The sequence below is a fragment of the Homo sapiens genome, chromosome 6, assembly GCF_000001405.40.
Source record: "Homo sapiens chromosome 6, GRCh38.p14 Primary Assembly".
Taxonomy (NCBI): Eukaryota; Metazoa; Chordata; class Mammalia; order Primates; family Hominidae; genus Homo; species Homo sapiens.
In genome coordinates this window covers 101,711,100-101,726,730 of record NC_000006.12, presented here as the reverse complement: position 1 = coordinate 101,726,730, position 15,631 = coordinate 101,711,100, and the positions used below count along the sequence as shown (strand labels likewise).

At 32.5% G+C, this 15,631-nt stretch overlaps 1 protein-coding gene across 8 annotated transcripts in view, besides 1 other annotated feature; it reads right to left on the bottom strand.

The window, feature by feature from the left end:
- Positions 1-15,631, bottom strand: part of GRIK2 (glutamate ionotropic receptor kainate type subunit 2) — a 676,376-nt gene that overhangs the window by 343,353 nt on the left and 317,392 nt on the right. The gene's annotated exons all lie outside the window — the stretch shown is intronic.
- Positions 9,295-9,837: an enhancer, noted in NCBI's record as "OCT4-NANOG hESC enhancer chr6:102164769-102165311 (GRCh37/hg19 assembly coordinates)". NCBI's record gives its function as "activates a minimal SCP1, AML or CMV promoter by ChIP-STARR-seq in primed H9 embryonic stem cells {active_cell/tissue: H9 hESC(primed)}" and the evidence as "EXISTENCE:reporter gene assay evidence [ECO:0000049][PMID:30033119]".

Sequence of the window (15,631 nt, the reverse complement as noted above, 5' to 3'; positions counted from 1 at the left end):
GATAGTTGTGCATATAAAATGCTAAAAATACATACTGCTCACATAATTTTATAATCTTTTAATATACATTGTTCAAATATGCAATCATTGCTTGGATATTTTTGACAGTATGTTACTTTGGATGTATGTTCTACTTTCTACCTGTCTTCATGTGTAGGTACTCTAATCATCGATATAACTGTCATAGGTTTAGTTCCTATAAAAGCAAGTGATTATAAATGTTTATGCTCATTGCTGTCCCAATTGATTCCTGTTTGTATGCATATCTGAGTTACGAGTTTATTATTAAAACAGAACTAGAAGCAATTCATGAAGACATTATATATTAAGTTCTCTTTAAGCGTTTTAAAATGCACCAGTTAGATTATCAATTCATTTTAGTACCTTTCATTAGCTTCTGGAAAATCACTGCTATAATCTTCTGAATCAACAGACACTATCTTTGCACTAGCAAGTCTTGATTTTCTATTAAACATAGAGGCTAAGCAAGCACAACCACTTTTAATGAGGATTATATCTTTTCTCTGGACACTGTTTGCATAAAGCGTTATCCAACATAGGAAGATTATTCTTCAAATCTCCTATAAAGAGAAAATTACAATTACCTAAGACCTATCTTAGCACTGTTATATATATAAGTGCAGTTTTTAATCTTTATGAGGTTTTAAAAGTCCTGAAAAGTCAATGGCTGTATTTAAAATTAATTGTTTGACTTTAAGATTTAGATATTTTTATTAATTAAATTTATAGAAAAAAATTGTTATAAACTAATCTCAATGAAAACTTTATGCAATCATCATGTAATTTACATTATGAAAAGCAAAAGAAAAATTCCCTTCTTTAAGGATGTATGGAATAAATATTCATTTTCCTTGTTGGGTCAAACATTCAGGTGAACACAATATGTCATTTGAAAAACATCAGAGTTAACGACAGTCTTTGGACTGTCAGTGACCAGTACAAAATGATACTCTCTTGAATTCTGTCCAGAAACCTGGAAGCCTACAGATATTGAAGATTAAAATTGTACACTTAATCTTAGCATAGCTAAGGTAAACATGTATTTAAGTCAAAACTAATCAGTGAGCCATTCTTATGGTGATGCTACCTGTAACATAAAAATATTACATCTTTTCTGAGATGATTTACTCAAGAACATAAAAGAAAAATGTCTTCTATACAAAAAACAGTGAAAAATACTAAATCAATGTGTCTATTGTCCCACAGATATACAAGGCAAATACAGATGGTTAAATTATCGTTTCCTGAGAAATTTCCTAAACATTTGAATAATATCTTCTTCTACTATAAGACAATGTGAATTCAGATTCAGTGGAGGTAGTTTAGAGAAGATACTTCAGAAATTACAATAGAGAGGACTCTATAATTAACATTTTTGGAATCCCACAGAACTAAGATCACATAGCCTTCAAAATATATCGCAATCAATTACTAAAATGTTTTCCCAATGGTGTTGCTCTTGGGAAATCCAACTTTTTGGTAAAAGGTACAAGAACTAGGGAAAGAAATCAATAGCTGCAAAAGTTCACTTTGAAGGAACAGATTTGCTGAGTATAAGGGCAGCCACTTAATATATGAATGATTATTACCCGTGTAAAGCCATAAGCCCGGATCACTGTGGCAAAGTAACTAGTAGATTTATTGAATTCACAAAGTAAAAGAAAATAAAACTTTTATGAGAGTTTAATGTTGGAGGCAATGGGAACATAGCAGACACACTAACTTACAGAGAGCAATAAAGTGAAAAAGAGACAGAAAAGGCAGGTTCAGGTCACAGGAGTCCTTCAGTGAGATACCCATGGGGTAAGGAAATGTTAAACAGAGTGGAGAGAAGATGGAAAATGCTCATCATTTCAGCCCTCAAACCTCCTATTTCTCAGAACTCTTAGATTTTTCAGGCATATCACTTATTCTGTCACTGAATTAGGTGTTGTCTTAATCATTTAAAGTATTTATTCTCTCCCCAACCAGATACCAATTTCTAAATATTGGAATTGTGTCTGGACCATCTTTCATTAATGCCTCCTCACCTACCCAAATGCTCTTATGCACAGTTGATGAATCCCATAAATCTATTTTAAATAGTGAATAAAGACTGTACATAGGTGTCTATCAATAGTGGATGGAGTAAACAAAATGTGTTACATGTACACCATGGAATCCTAGATAGCCATGAAAAAGGACAAAATCATGTCCTTTGGAGCAACAGGATGCAGCTAGAGGTCATTATCCTAAGCAAATTTACTCAAAAACAGAAAACCGAGTACCACATGTTCTCACTTATAAGTGGGAGTTAAGCATTGGGTACACGTGGGCATAAAAATGGGCACGATCGATACAGGAAACTACCAGAAGGGGAAGAGAGGGAGGGACACAAGGGCTGAAAAACTACCTATTGGATACTATGTTTACTATCTGGGTGATGGGATAACGTAAACTCCACACCTTAGCATCACACAATATTCCCATATAACAAACCTGTCCATGTACCCCCTGAATCTAAAATAAAAGTTAAATTTTTTTTTTTATAAAGACTATACCTAAGGCAAGGGTGGACATATAACTTATCATTCAAACTGAGGTATTTTGAAAAGTGAAAGAGGGTATTATTAACTACTACCCTATGACAACCAGAAATGTCCAGGGCAAAACAGAACATATGATCTTCAACCTAAGATAAATATGGCTAGTCTACAACTTTCTTGAGAGAAGAGAAATTTCATAGAGTACATAAAATATACCACTGGTTATACAAATATATCTGTAACACTACACAATCTAAAATAAGAAAAAGATAACAAGAAGAGGTAAAGCAGAAAGGGTTTATCCCAACATATGTTAACATTATCTTTGAGAATTTCCTCCATAAGACATGACAATCAGTTAGAAAGAGAGAAATCTAAATTCTCCACTAGCTGTCTTATGTTGCCCAACAGTGAAGTCATATTTTGAATGTGTATCTATTTAGTCTTTATTATATAGATGCTATTAGCCTTCAAACATGTTTTATTAGACTTCACTTACTATTTATTCATTAACCAGTTTAGTTGTTAGATTCTTCAGCTGTGAAAAGAAGGGATTAACTAACTGATCAATAAGGTTCCTTCCAATCCTAAAATTATAGTCCTATAATTATAGGTATTGCAGTGTAGTGCAAAATGTATCTTACAGCCATGGAGGAAGGCAGCTGAAAGGTATTTCTCAGATAAACATATGTTCCAGTTTCTAGTAATTGGCTGACTCAAAAAATGTTGCAAGGTATTTTGCAATCTACTATTATTTTTGAGATTTCTAATTTTCTTTTATTTTTAAATCTTAGATGCTACAGTGGAAAACTTGTCATTTTGCCACTATGACTCATAGTTGTACAATGTCTATAATGGAATGGATAAACACTGTCTTTTAGTTGTCCATATATGAACATTTTACTTTTGCAGTTTATATAGATTTATTTTTTGTGAAACACTATGCCTGGAGAAAAAAAAGATAAATCTTTGACATGAGTCACTTTTTATCAACCCTGGCCATGGAGAAATTACTTGTTATCCTTTGCATTTGAAGACGACAATACTGACTCACTCAAAGTAGTGCATATGCTTTGAATTCTTTTTTCTAAAAGTGAGCATGGACTCTAACTACTCATTCTTTCTGTCTCACCTACTCCAGGCATGACTAAGCACAACTTTCTATAAGATGTCTGGTATCAGAATGCAATTTCTAAATATGATGTTTTTAAAATGGGCAGATGTATCCCTGATAAGAAGGATTGGACCCTTAAAAGGACTGGCAGTAAAAATGACAGCATCCTCTCCCAGATTATTCCATGCTGATCACATCTTAAATCCTTTGCTTTTGCATCTTATTTGTTTCTTCTGTCAGCTTTGGCCCCAGACTTCCTTGGATTCTGACTCTGGTTCCACCATCTTACATATTTCCTTAGACTAGGAATTAGACATTTATCTCCTCCCCACCATCTCATAATATTTTATTCCTTTGGTCCTCATCTTGCCTAACAAAAACACATTTCAAAACTGGGTTTCACAGTTGGCATCCATCCCTCTTTGTATACAGTCCAGATACACTGTCTGGTTGAGAAGAAGGTGAAGCCTTATAAAATGGAACTAAAATGTAGTTTGAATCACTAATCTTGTGCTCATTAACACCATATATAAATTCCTGAGCTATGAGTTGTTATCAGATCTATTTACCGTATTTATACAAACAACCTCAATAGTAGTAAAAATTGTGAAAGACGTAAGTATAAACACAATTAGATCATGTAGATTCAAATGCACAGGTATTACTTGGATCTGAAAGTCAAAGGAAGATAAAGCCATCATAATTAGTACAATTCAATATAGCACTATAAGGTCAAATTACAGAAATTTTTTTGTTGTTGTTTGTTTGTTTTTAATGGACTACCTAATAGAAAGATTTAGTAGATATCAGTTCTAGCCTACTCCTGGTATAAGTAACCAATAAAATCTTTAGGTAATTACTAATCTCTTCATACCATAATTTTTCTCTCTTGAAAAGAAGAATATTGCTAATCACTATAAATCTTTCAGAAATGTTCAGGATGTAGTTGTGAATAATAACAATTATAAAACCACCATATGTAGTTCTCACTACTAGTATATTTAATGAAGTAGAAACATCACTTCATTACTCCTTCCCCCTTTAATGAGGTTATTAAAGCACAAATGGATTAAAGTATTTTTAGAGTTGACATAGATTTAACTTTCTTACAAAAATAAATCGGAAAAAAAGGCCTAAGTGAAAATATTGAGTTCCTTGAAAAGCATGAAACATATTGAAATTAAGAAGTAATTTCTTTTTTTTGTGAGAAGTAATTTCTTAAAGGCAAGTAAAATAAATGATATATACATGTAGTGAATTAAATAATATATGTGTTCCATGTAAGTATGTCAGAATTCCATAGGGTTAAGAAAAGTCAAAGGCATGAAATGCAAACAACAGAAAGACCAGAGAAAGTGGTATAGTTTTAAAAGAGGTAATAAAGAAAAATGAAATGTAGAACAACTTATTAAAGAAGAGAATATGCAGTAAAAATAAAAACATATTTATTATTTATTTATGTATTTTTCAGACAAGATCTTACTCTGTTGCCCAGGCTGCAGGGTGCACTTGGAGTGCACTGCAGGGTATTATGTATCCCTGGAGTGCAGGGGTACAATCATGGCTCATTGTAGCCTCTACCTCCCTGGGCTCAGGTGATCCTCCCATCTCAGCCTCCCAAGTAGCTGGGACTACAGGAACACACCACCACTCCCAGCTAATTTTTATTTTTATTTTTGTAGAGAACAGAGTCTCTCTATGTTGCCCAGTCTGGTTTCGAACTCCTGGGTTCAAGTGATCTGCCCATCTCGGCCTCCCAAAATGTTGGGATTGCAGGCTGAGTCACCCTACCTTGCTGAATACATTTTTATAGTTTACTTGCATGCTATTTGTTGCTGTAAAAACTGCCTTTTAGAATAGAAAAGAGACATCCACAAGTTCTGACAGCAAAAAGTGAAGCAACAATCAATAAACTAAACTGTCCTGAGTACCTATAGAAGAAGCTGCCTGATTAAAGGAATTGTAAAAATTATTAAAAATTTATCATTCTAAAAAACAAATGGACATATTAGATAGAACCACCTATCTGAATGGTTACATCCATACATTCAGTGTTGCTATGCTTAATCGCCAGCTTGCTTAATGATCAATCTCCCAAAACTTGGCATGAACTGTATTTTTAAGATGAAGGAACCTAGACATCAAAATAATGCATATCTGGCATAAAAAATGCAAATGCTAAGATTCTGGCCATAAAAATTTACAGTATTGTCTGAAAATAATTCTGAAAACAAAAAATTTCATCCAGCAATAAAATAAAGGTGAAGTACAGTTTTGCATTTTATTTTATTTTTTTAGTAGTTTGCAAATAAGTGAGTTTAACTAAAACTTTTTTTTTCCTTCTAGGACCTTTTAAATTTGTTTTACTGTAAGACTATTTGAAAATTGATATTTCCATACCTAAGCAAATCTTGGATGACTGAATCATTATTTGTCTTATTTTCAAAAGTACATAAAAATAGATGTGGTATGACAGAAAATGATGTTAGTAAATAAAGACAAATAGTCCAGAATGGACCAAGGTACTTTCAAGACCTATGGCAGAAATACCAGGAATTATTAATAGACAATACTACACTTACACATTTTAATTTAAATCTAAATTAATCAAAATTCTGTTTGATGAATATTTAAGAAGAAACAAATTAACTGCTATGCTTAAACAAATGGTGAAATGAGATAAGCATATTCAACATATATGGTATGAGAATATAGAACACATAAAAGATAAAGAAGAGAAAAAATAATTAATGGGAAAATGTTTTAAATGGTAAAAGTATATTGGCTATTTTATATCCAAATCACAGTTTGAACGGACAAACACATTTTTTATTTTTTTCTGACAGTGTGGGCTGGGTCTGTCTCATAATCATGTTGGATATACATTCAAAATGCAGTACCCTTTTTTGTAAGTTTGATACAGCTCCCTAGAGGATGAGTGACACAAACGAGGGGGTGCAGGGGAGAAAGAAAAAAAAACGAAATCATCCTGAACTACAATGAACATTCAATAAACACAAAAATAAGTATCTTTTTTTCTTAAAATGAATGAGTGAATCAATTGCATTTTTCTTTAATGCAATACTTGGTGTTTTTTCTCTCCTTTTCTCTTTCTCTCTCATCTTTTTTCTCTCTCTTTCTTTTTGAAAGAAAATGTATGACCTAAAAAATCTCAGAATACCTTGTGCTTCTTTGTGAAATGAAAATAAAGAGCAGCACCATCACCACAGTGGCTGTAGGAGGAGAGTCAATGGACTATTAAATGGGAAATCATCTGTTTTCAGATTTTACTTTGCCACCATTACTTCCCTCCAGTGAGCTGTTATCTGGCAGAGGGGGCCTTAATCGCCTCCTATGCTGGCAGAAAACCTTCATGCATTTAGCACAGCTATTCATATAATGTGCAATCACCTCCACACAAAAATTCCAAATAAAATATATGTTTTCCCAGCACAGCAGTGCCATTAGTGCATCTAACTGCCCACTGAACTCCAAAGTCCTAATGTTATTATATTCCAGCTTGTTGAAGGCTCATTATTTTATCTGAGCCTATTTGATGGTTCACAGATACTTAGTTAATTTTCCCTTTTTTTCTTTCTCCCATTGGGTGTTAGTCCCTTGGTGTAAGACATACAGAGACATAAGTAAATGACATAAAATCAAATATTACCACTAAGTCATGTATATAGTTTGGCTAGCAGTGAAAGTATATTTTGTTAACAACTCCTCTGCTCTAGCTGCTGTATAGTTAATGGTGAGAGAATATGAAAGCAAAACAGCAACCAATGGGCCTGCAGAAAATGTGCTTGCTACTTTCCCCAAACAGCTGCTATTTGATTCAGGAAATCTGCCATGCAACAAATTAAAAATGCCTAGGACAATTATGTATTCATCAAAAAAAAAAAAAAAAAAAAAAAAAAAAAAAAAAAAAACCCTTGCAGCCTGTTGCACATTTCAGAAAATACATTTAAATGGCTTCTTTATATTCAAATTTAAAACATCATATATATTGTTCTTTGAAAGTAGAGTAAGAAAACCTTGGATTTGAGAAAGAGAAGATGGAAATATTGAGATAAATATATGCTTTATATATCCTTAGGTTTATATTCTGCTTAATAATTGCAGAAACTTTTCTCCATTTGTATTTTCTTTACAGACACAATTGTGTTATTAGATAAATTGCACAATAAAGTGATGACTATTCAGAGCATGAAGATACCAAGTCAAGGTTGAAACCCTTGCTTGGTTGAGGATCACATGTCAGATTTGGTATCAAATCTTCACCTCTAAGAACACAACAGGACAAACCCAAGTGACCTCTCTGGGCCTCAGTGTCTTCCTGTAAGAATAAAGGTGGTGAACTGTTTGATATCAAAGGCCCTCACCTGTTACAAAAAAGTAGAATCCTTGACATATTGGCAGCATGATCTCTCGAAGATTTTTCACAATACACTGGAAGGGACACAGTCTAGATAATGGAGGGATGATGGTGGTTGGGAATATGGAATTTATAATCTTTTAATCTTTTCTCCTTCAAAAGAATATTGTAGCTTGGAGGCAATTTATAGTACTTGCATACTTCTTCAATTACTCTTGGGATATCAGTATTCAGTAACAGTAAAAAGATTTTTTGTATACAAATTAAGATCTGAATGTCTGACCTTTTCTCTGATATGTGATATTTGTCACTTTTTCCATAGAAGTGTTTATAATAAAATGGTTCTTATAATTTACATCATAATTTGTATCTGGCACCCAATGGTTTTCTAGTTATTTTTTGCTACAAAGATTCTCCCTTCTCCAATGTGTTATAATCTCCTGGAAAACAGCCAATATGATTTCTCTTTATTTTTCTTAAAGGGCAACTAGAATAAGATAAGTGAAATTGCCAACAGCAGAGTTGATCCTTCCTAAGGTATTCAATTAGCATCAGTTTTCAATTATTTTTTATTACATTTTAATGAATAAAATATAAAAATAAACATTGTAAATCCAAAAAATAATTTGGTGGTATAGACAAGAGTATAATACCTGGCAAAGAAACATAGGTAGAAGGGTAAATAATATTTTATTATTAAATATGTTTTCATTATTAAGAAGAATGGCTAATATAACTTAATATGGCATTGTGTAACTTATAGGAACTAGCTATTTATGGACCTGGGTAGTATAATTTAATAAAGACTAAAGGCTTTCCCCAAGCACATACAACTAAACTGCTTACATACAGACATTTTGTTAAATTCATAAAAACAGATTGCTAGAGGATAAAGATTTAATATATTATTGTGAATCTCAGTTGCCATATTTTCAATGAAAAATTTAAATTGACACCTTTTACTTCAGGTAGTTACATGTTCAATTCAGTACATATTCAGTACCGAATTACTATTCACTGGCAATAATTAAAGATAACATTCAGGCAACTGCTTCAGTCCTATTATGGAAGAAGCTAGTACATACATGTCTTGCCCCTAATTCCACTAAATATATATAATGGCAAAGCCATATCTTAATTCCTATTGCAACAAGTGACTCTTTCCTAAGGAAAATTCTTGTAACATACTCAAGGAATTAATTTCTTCCCAATTAAGAGAATGTCCTGTAAATTCTAGATACAACAAAAATTAGTAGTTTAGGCTTGAATATATCCATTTTTGATAAATATATTGTCAGCGTTAACACCGATGTCTGAGAGAAATCAGAACTTTCTTAAAGTTTTATTTTACTTTAAAAAAAAGTGTTATTATTGGAGAAAGAATGAAAGATGAAAGGCAGTTTACTTTCTCCTGAAGGTTTGTCAGTCATTATACTTAAATTTTTTCATCCAACCCCCTTCGTTTTTTCTCTGCTTTCATTGTTTGCTCCTACTCTTGACTCCTTTTTATATACCTCATTTACAAGGCTTGCTAAACCAGAAACACCCCCAGAACAAATCCAAACACTTTCCATTCTTCTTTCAGAAATCCATTTCCTTCACAAAGCTACTTAATTAGATGGAAGTAAAGTGCTAATTTGCTAAGGGGAAAAGATCATTTGCATATCAATTTACACACTTTTCTCCAAGTATTTGTAATTAGAGAGCAATCAACAAGCTTTTGAAGGCTGATAGAAAAGGGGAAATGATTCCTGTGGAGATTAAGGAAGCAATAAAGTATGTAGAGGAATGGGCACTGGAAGAGGAGCCAGATGGCCTCAGGTTGAGCAATTAATTTAACCTTTTGGAATCTCAGGTTTTTAGCTATAAAATGGGAATATGCTTACTTTAAACCTTTTGTTGTGGTTGTGGTTGTTATTTGTTTTGTTTTGCTTTGTTTTATTATTATTCTTTAAGTTCTTGGGTACGTGTGCACAACATGCAGGTTTGTTACATATGTATACATGTGCCATGTTGGTGTGCTGCACCCATTAACTGGTCATTTACATTAGGTATTTCACCTAATGCTATCCCTCCCCCCTCCCCCCACCCCAGGACAGGAGGCTCTGAAGATTAAGCTCAACACCTATAAGGGCCCAGTACAAAAGCATTGTCTCTCCATAGGTTGTCAGTGGAGTCCATAAGAAACTATTCTTTTAACCTGTTTAACTCATGTACTTTTCTGTATAAACAGGAAACAGTATAGCTACTCCAGGATGGTTGGAAATTTAAACAAGACTAAATATTTAAAATATCTGACACTAAGGAATTCATAGATAGTATTTACAATTACTATTTTAGTTCCAGATTTTATTTATTGCCTTCTTTCATTATAGTATACCTTTCCTCTTCATTAGATTCCACCAATTAACCTAACTATATTTATTATTTATTATCACAGGCCCTCAGATTTCCCCTTTTCCCTTTGACTATTAATTGATTATTAATTAAACACCATTCAGAGATGGAGAAATATGGTCTGAAAGAACATAAGAAGTTATCTGGACACTAATTTCCACAGTATTTTATGAAGCTTTAGGTTTATTCATAGACGCTCAGGAGCTAACATAGGAAGGTAGAAAATGTAGAAACAGGAAAAGGAAGATAGAAGGGGAAGCAGGTAGAAGGTGGAAGTGGAGGAAGCTATAGGATGAAGGAGGTTGAATTTCAAGATTTCTTTCAGCATTTCCAACAATGACACTGTGTTTTTGTCTCTTGACTAACAGAGTTTTGTTAAAACACAAACAACATATTTAGGCCAAACATTATCCTGTATTTAGAAAATATAGGGTCAGTGATGACTTGTTTAGAATACGAAGCAGGTTTATAAACTAAACTGGAGTTAGAACCAAAATATCAGGGTTCTCTTGCTGTGATTCTTCCATATTAAATCACGGTCATTTATTTCCAAACTTCTTCCACTTTCCTTCCTTCACTTGCAACTCTGCTGATTTGTCAGGAACATCAGAAATAATTCTTTTTCATAACATGGGATTAATGAAGACTGCCATAAAAACTCCCACATACCTAGAACATTTATGGGCCGTTGTTTGGACTATATTATATTCTTGGTATAGTTAAAGATGTTGGTTTGATCTTTAAGTCCCTAGACGTAGACCAAACTAAAATACTGACAGTTTATGTGTCTGTGCTGTTATGTGTCCCCATGACTTTGGATAAGCCAGTTTCTTTCCCTACAACACTCCCCATTAGTCTTGTCTTTCTTTCCTCCTGTCTGCCAGGGAACTCTTCATCTTCCAAGTCTCAGGTTAGCCTCAAGTCCTCTTTGACTTGCTTCAGTTCAGGTGGGGGATCTGTCCCTATCATGTCCTGTATCTAGGTAAGCACTTAGCATCCTGAATGACATTATTTGTCTTCAGGACTGTTTATGTGGGGTCATAGCACCCAGAAAAACATTACATTATTTTATCTTGAATTAGCCTGTGCCTACCAAAAAGGTGAGCAAATATAAACATTTTAATGACGTTTCTGAACTTAAACAAATTGAGAAGAAACTTTATAATCTTTATGAACATTTCTAAATTTTACTTATAACACTTCAGGCAAAGCCTATATTTTTTTTTGTGGTATTTTATATGGTTCCTTTTCTGATCCTGGAAATAAATTGTAAAACGTTTGTATATGAAATAATATTAGAGTTAATATTGAAGCTATTCAAATTCTCTCTTAATATTAATTTTACTCACATTTTATAAGAGTGTATTTGTTTATATTATAATTATCATTTAAACTGGAAAAATGCTTCAGATTTTTAGTGTATTCAATATCATAATAATTTGTTTGCATTATAGACTTTAAAAAAATTAATTCCTCTGATTTGAAATTCAAAGTAACAATAATTTCTAAGAATTTTAACTGCAAAGGTAAGCCACATTAAAAACAAAAATAAGGAAAACAGCTACAAAGCACAGGACTTGTGACAAAGAGAAAGGAATTAAGAAGCGAAATGATAAAAGTGAAGTTAGACATTGTTTGTGATAAAACTTACATGAGAACGTGAGAACAAGTGCTTTATCTAAAGCAAACCAGCAGTTGTGTGTGAACATCTCTAAAGTGAGCCTCCAGGGAGAAAAATCCAGTGGATAATTCAGAAGATAATATTTTAAAAGTTGATACCAGAATTTTAAAAGAATTTATCTGGAATACAACATTAAAGTCTATTTTTTTTAAGCTCAAAAGTGGTAACTGAATAATCCTCTTAGAGAAAGAGATGTAAAGTAAGATACATCAATATATTTGAAGCATGGCAGTCCAGGAATCTAAAAACATACTCATTTCTGGTTGCTCATGGCCCATCAAATAAAAGATCACAAAAGTCTTGTGGAAAGTGTTTCCAACAGGTATTGTAAGACTTAACTCATTAATTCATTTTAGTTTTGAACATATGATTTACATTTTAATTTTGGAAGTATGTCTTTTTGGTTCTCCTGACAAAAAAAAGAACTTTACAAATGCTAACGTGCTTGATCAGCTCTGGAGAAGCACTCTGGTAGCCTACCTCTATTCTGTATGACCCCTGCAAATAATAAATGCATATGTTACTCTAAAATATACATTTCTTTGCATTTTAATATAAGAAAGAAAGGTGGATCTTTATTTTACTAAAAAGAAAGCATATTTTGAAAGCAACACATTTTACCTGACAATTTAAATAAAAAGTGTTCTAATTTTAACTTACTCTAATATGAAGGAAAGAAAGCAATTCTTAATTCAAGCGTAGGGTGAAAACACAGTGTATACTTCACTTTTATCCCATTTTCATATTTTATAGAATAGAAGATGATAAGGCAAAGGATGCTAGGTTGTTCTTTTTGCTTCAGTATAGAGATATGTTTAAAAATACTACTGTTAGAAGGTTCACCTTTCTGTCACAAATGTAATTATAAATTTGACTATTTCTATCCAAATCATTATAAAAAATGTTTAAAAGTCCTGATTACCAAAGAGAGTTTAAACATTAATACAGAAGCTAGCAAGAAACAGTTGTTTGTCATGCAGACTTAGACTGAGCTGGAATGGAAATGTCAAAGTAGCTTCTTCAATAAAGAGAAACTGATTTATCATAGTCTTTTGCTGAATATCTTATTTTGCTTAATAGACCACATGCTTGAAGATAATAAAGCCCACCTTGAATCTTTTCTTTGATAAACATATTTCTTCAGTAATATCCATTTTTTTAATGAAACAGAACTAATGAATGACATTAGGTCATAAACAAATAATGACTTTCAGTCTTCACGAACCGAATTACCTGAAGAAAATTAGCATTCAGGATGACCAAGAAAGCCATAGTACTGTTTAACAAGTCCTTAAGGAAACCGAATTCACATGAGTTATAAAATTTAAAAAAGAAAAGGTCAGGAGGTTTTTTCATGCATACAAATCAGTAATGATGACAGATACCATGCCTCTAAGTTTATTAATGGTATAATTTTTTAAAATAATAAATGGTTTCCACAAACTAAAAGACAGTGGATGCTGGCCTTTCGTCATAGTCCCATTGGTTTGCTGACAGCCTGCCCTCCTACGCTTTGAAAGAGGTACTGCTTCCAGCTATTCTCTTATTCTTTATTCTTTGTGACAAGTCTACATTGTAAAATGAAAAATTAGAGTTTTTTTCTGATCTTTACCAAACATATTTGAGGTATGTTTTTGTCTGTACACTCAATCCAATACTGGTAGGGAGATAGGCCTAACCTTTTGAAGAGCTCTACTTTTTATGAGGAAGCATGTAAAATATTTGAGGAAGAAGAGTCATGATTATGTGATTGTGCCTTTGTGTGGAATTTAAAGCCTACAAGAGCTTCTTGCCTAAAGTCCAATTGGAAACTGTAAATAAGATCTAAACAGTATTCTGTTGAACAATGATTTGAGCAAGAATTTTCTAGTCAGATAATGATACTGGATGCATTTGAGAATGCTGTATCCCTCAATGGTGATAAAAGTAGAAATTCAGCTCTGATATCTTCTTTCTCATAAGCACTTTGCCACTTTAATGCAGTATTTGGATAGTTTTAAATCTTTATCTGTAACAAAAATCAATACCTTATTAGAAAAAAATAAAATACGTATTGCATAGTTCACTCTTTGGAGTCTGGCTTTCTCAGACTCATACATGTATAAATACACTAATGAATATTCGACATTTTATGACAAAGTTAATATTTTTTATTGCAGTCCACCTTAGTAAGTAGTTCACACCTATTGCCTGTAAGAAAAAAAACTGAGGAAATATATAATGATGTTTGAAATCGTGCTTCTCCAATTCCAATGGGCATATAAATCACTGAGGATCTTGTTAGAAGGCAAACTGATTCAGTAAGTATGGGCTAGAGCCTGAGATTCTGTATTTCTGCATGGATGTTGATGCTGCTGCTCAGTGGACCACACACAGGGTAGCAAGGTTCTAAAAGATAGCAGTCAGCTATGATCCTATGGCCCAAAAAGGGAACTTTAGTGTGTTGAGGAGCTAAATATAAAATTTTCTATGATTGGTTCCATTCAATTTCAAATATCTTTTAAATTATAATTAAAAGTTCTAATTTCAGCTTGGTTGCAAATTTACTCAATCATTTGGGGTAAGTAATTTGACCCATAGGTAGGGGATCTTTTATAGTTTCTATTTTACCAGTTGAAGGAAGTTTGAAGTACAAAATAAATACAATCTTTAAATCAATTGTTATAGGAATATTGATAGAAACAGCTACAATAAGAACCTTTTCTAAATGTCACGTATAATGCCACAGTCTACTATTTTTGAGGAAAAAAATGTTATTTACTGGCTTTCATTATGTAACATTTTGGCCAATTGTAGCTGATTTGTGTGCCCAGAATACATGAAAATGCCACTACATGTTTTTAGTTATGATACTTTCAGTTTAGACCTTAACAGAATTTTCTACTATCTTGATTTATCTGTCATAACACACTTCCTCTTTTGATCTTACATGTATGTCAATAGCACTCTGTGACATTTAAATTCTCATCACAGCATTAAAAACATTTTATTTCAATGCTTTGCTTCAGAGGGTTTGGATATAAGGTCACTTGTTTCCCAAGGAAGTAAAGTATAAGTAAGAACAAAGCTATTTAAACTCAATCATCCTCTTTAATACGAAGTATTGCATTATAGAGTTTATTAATAGTTAATATTACTACTATATATTTAGAGAGATCATATGTAAGTATATGGTCATGAATATTACTCTTCAGATTTTATATTAAAATCATGAATTTTTGTATCTCAAATTATGGAATCAAATTTAGAATACAGATGAAGAGTAAACTTAGAATATTTTTAAAATATTATTTTGTGGGCATTTCTATATATTTGGCAACATATTTACTATACAGTCAGTGAATTTCATCATTACATTGCATTTGTTTTAAATAATGTTTTTAAGTATTTCTAATTTTAGTCATAAACATTCAGAGTTTATCTTCTAAAATTTAGCAGCCAATTAAGTTACCAATGTAAAAAACAGTAAATGTTAATTGGGATAGAGGGGTGCAATAACAAAAGCCAACACAGAA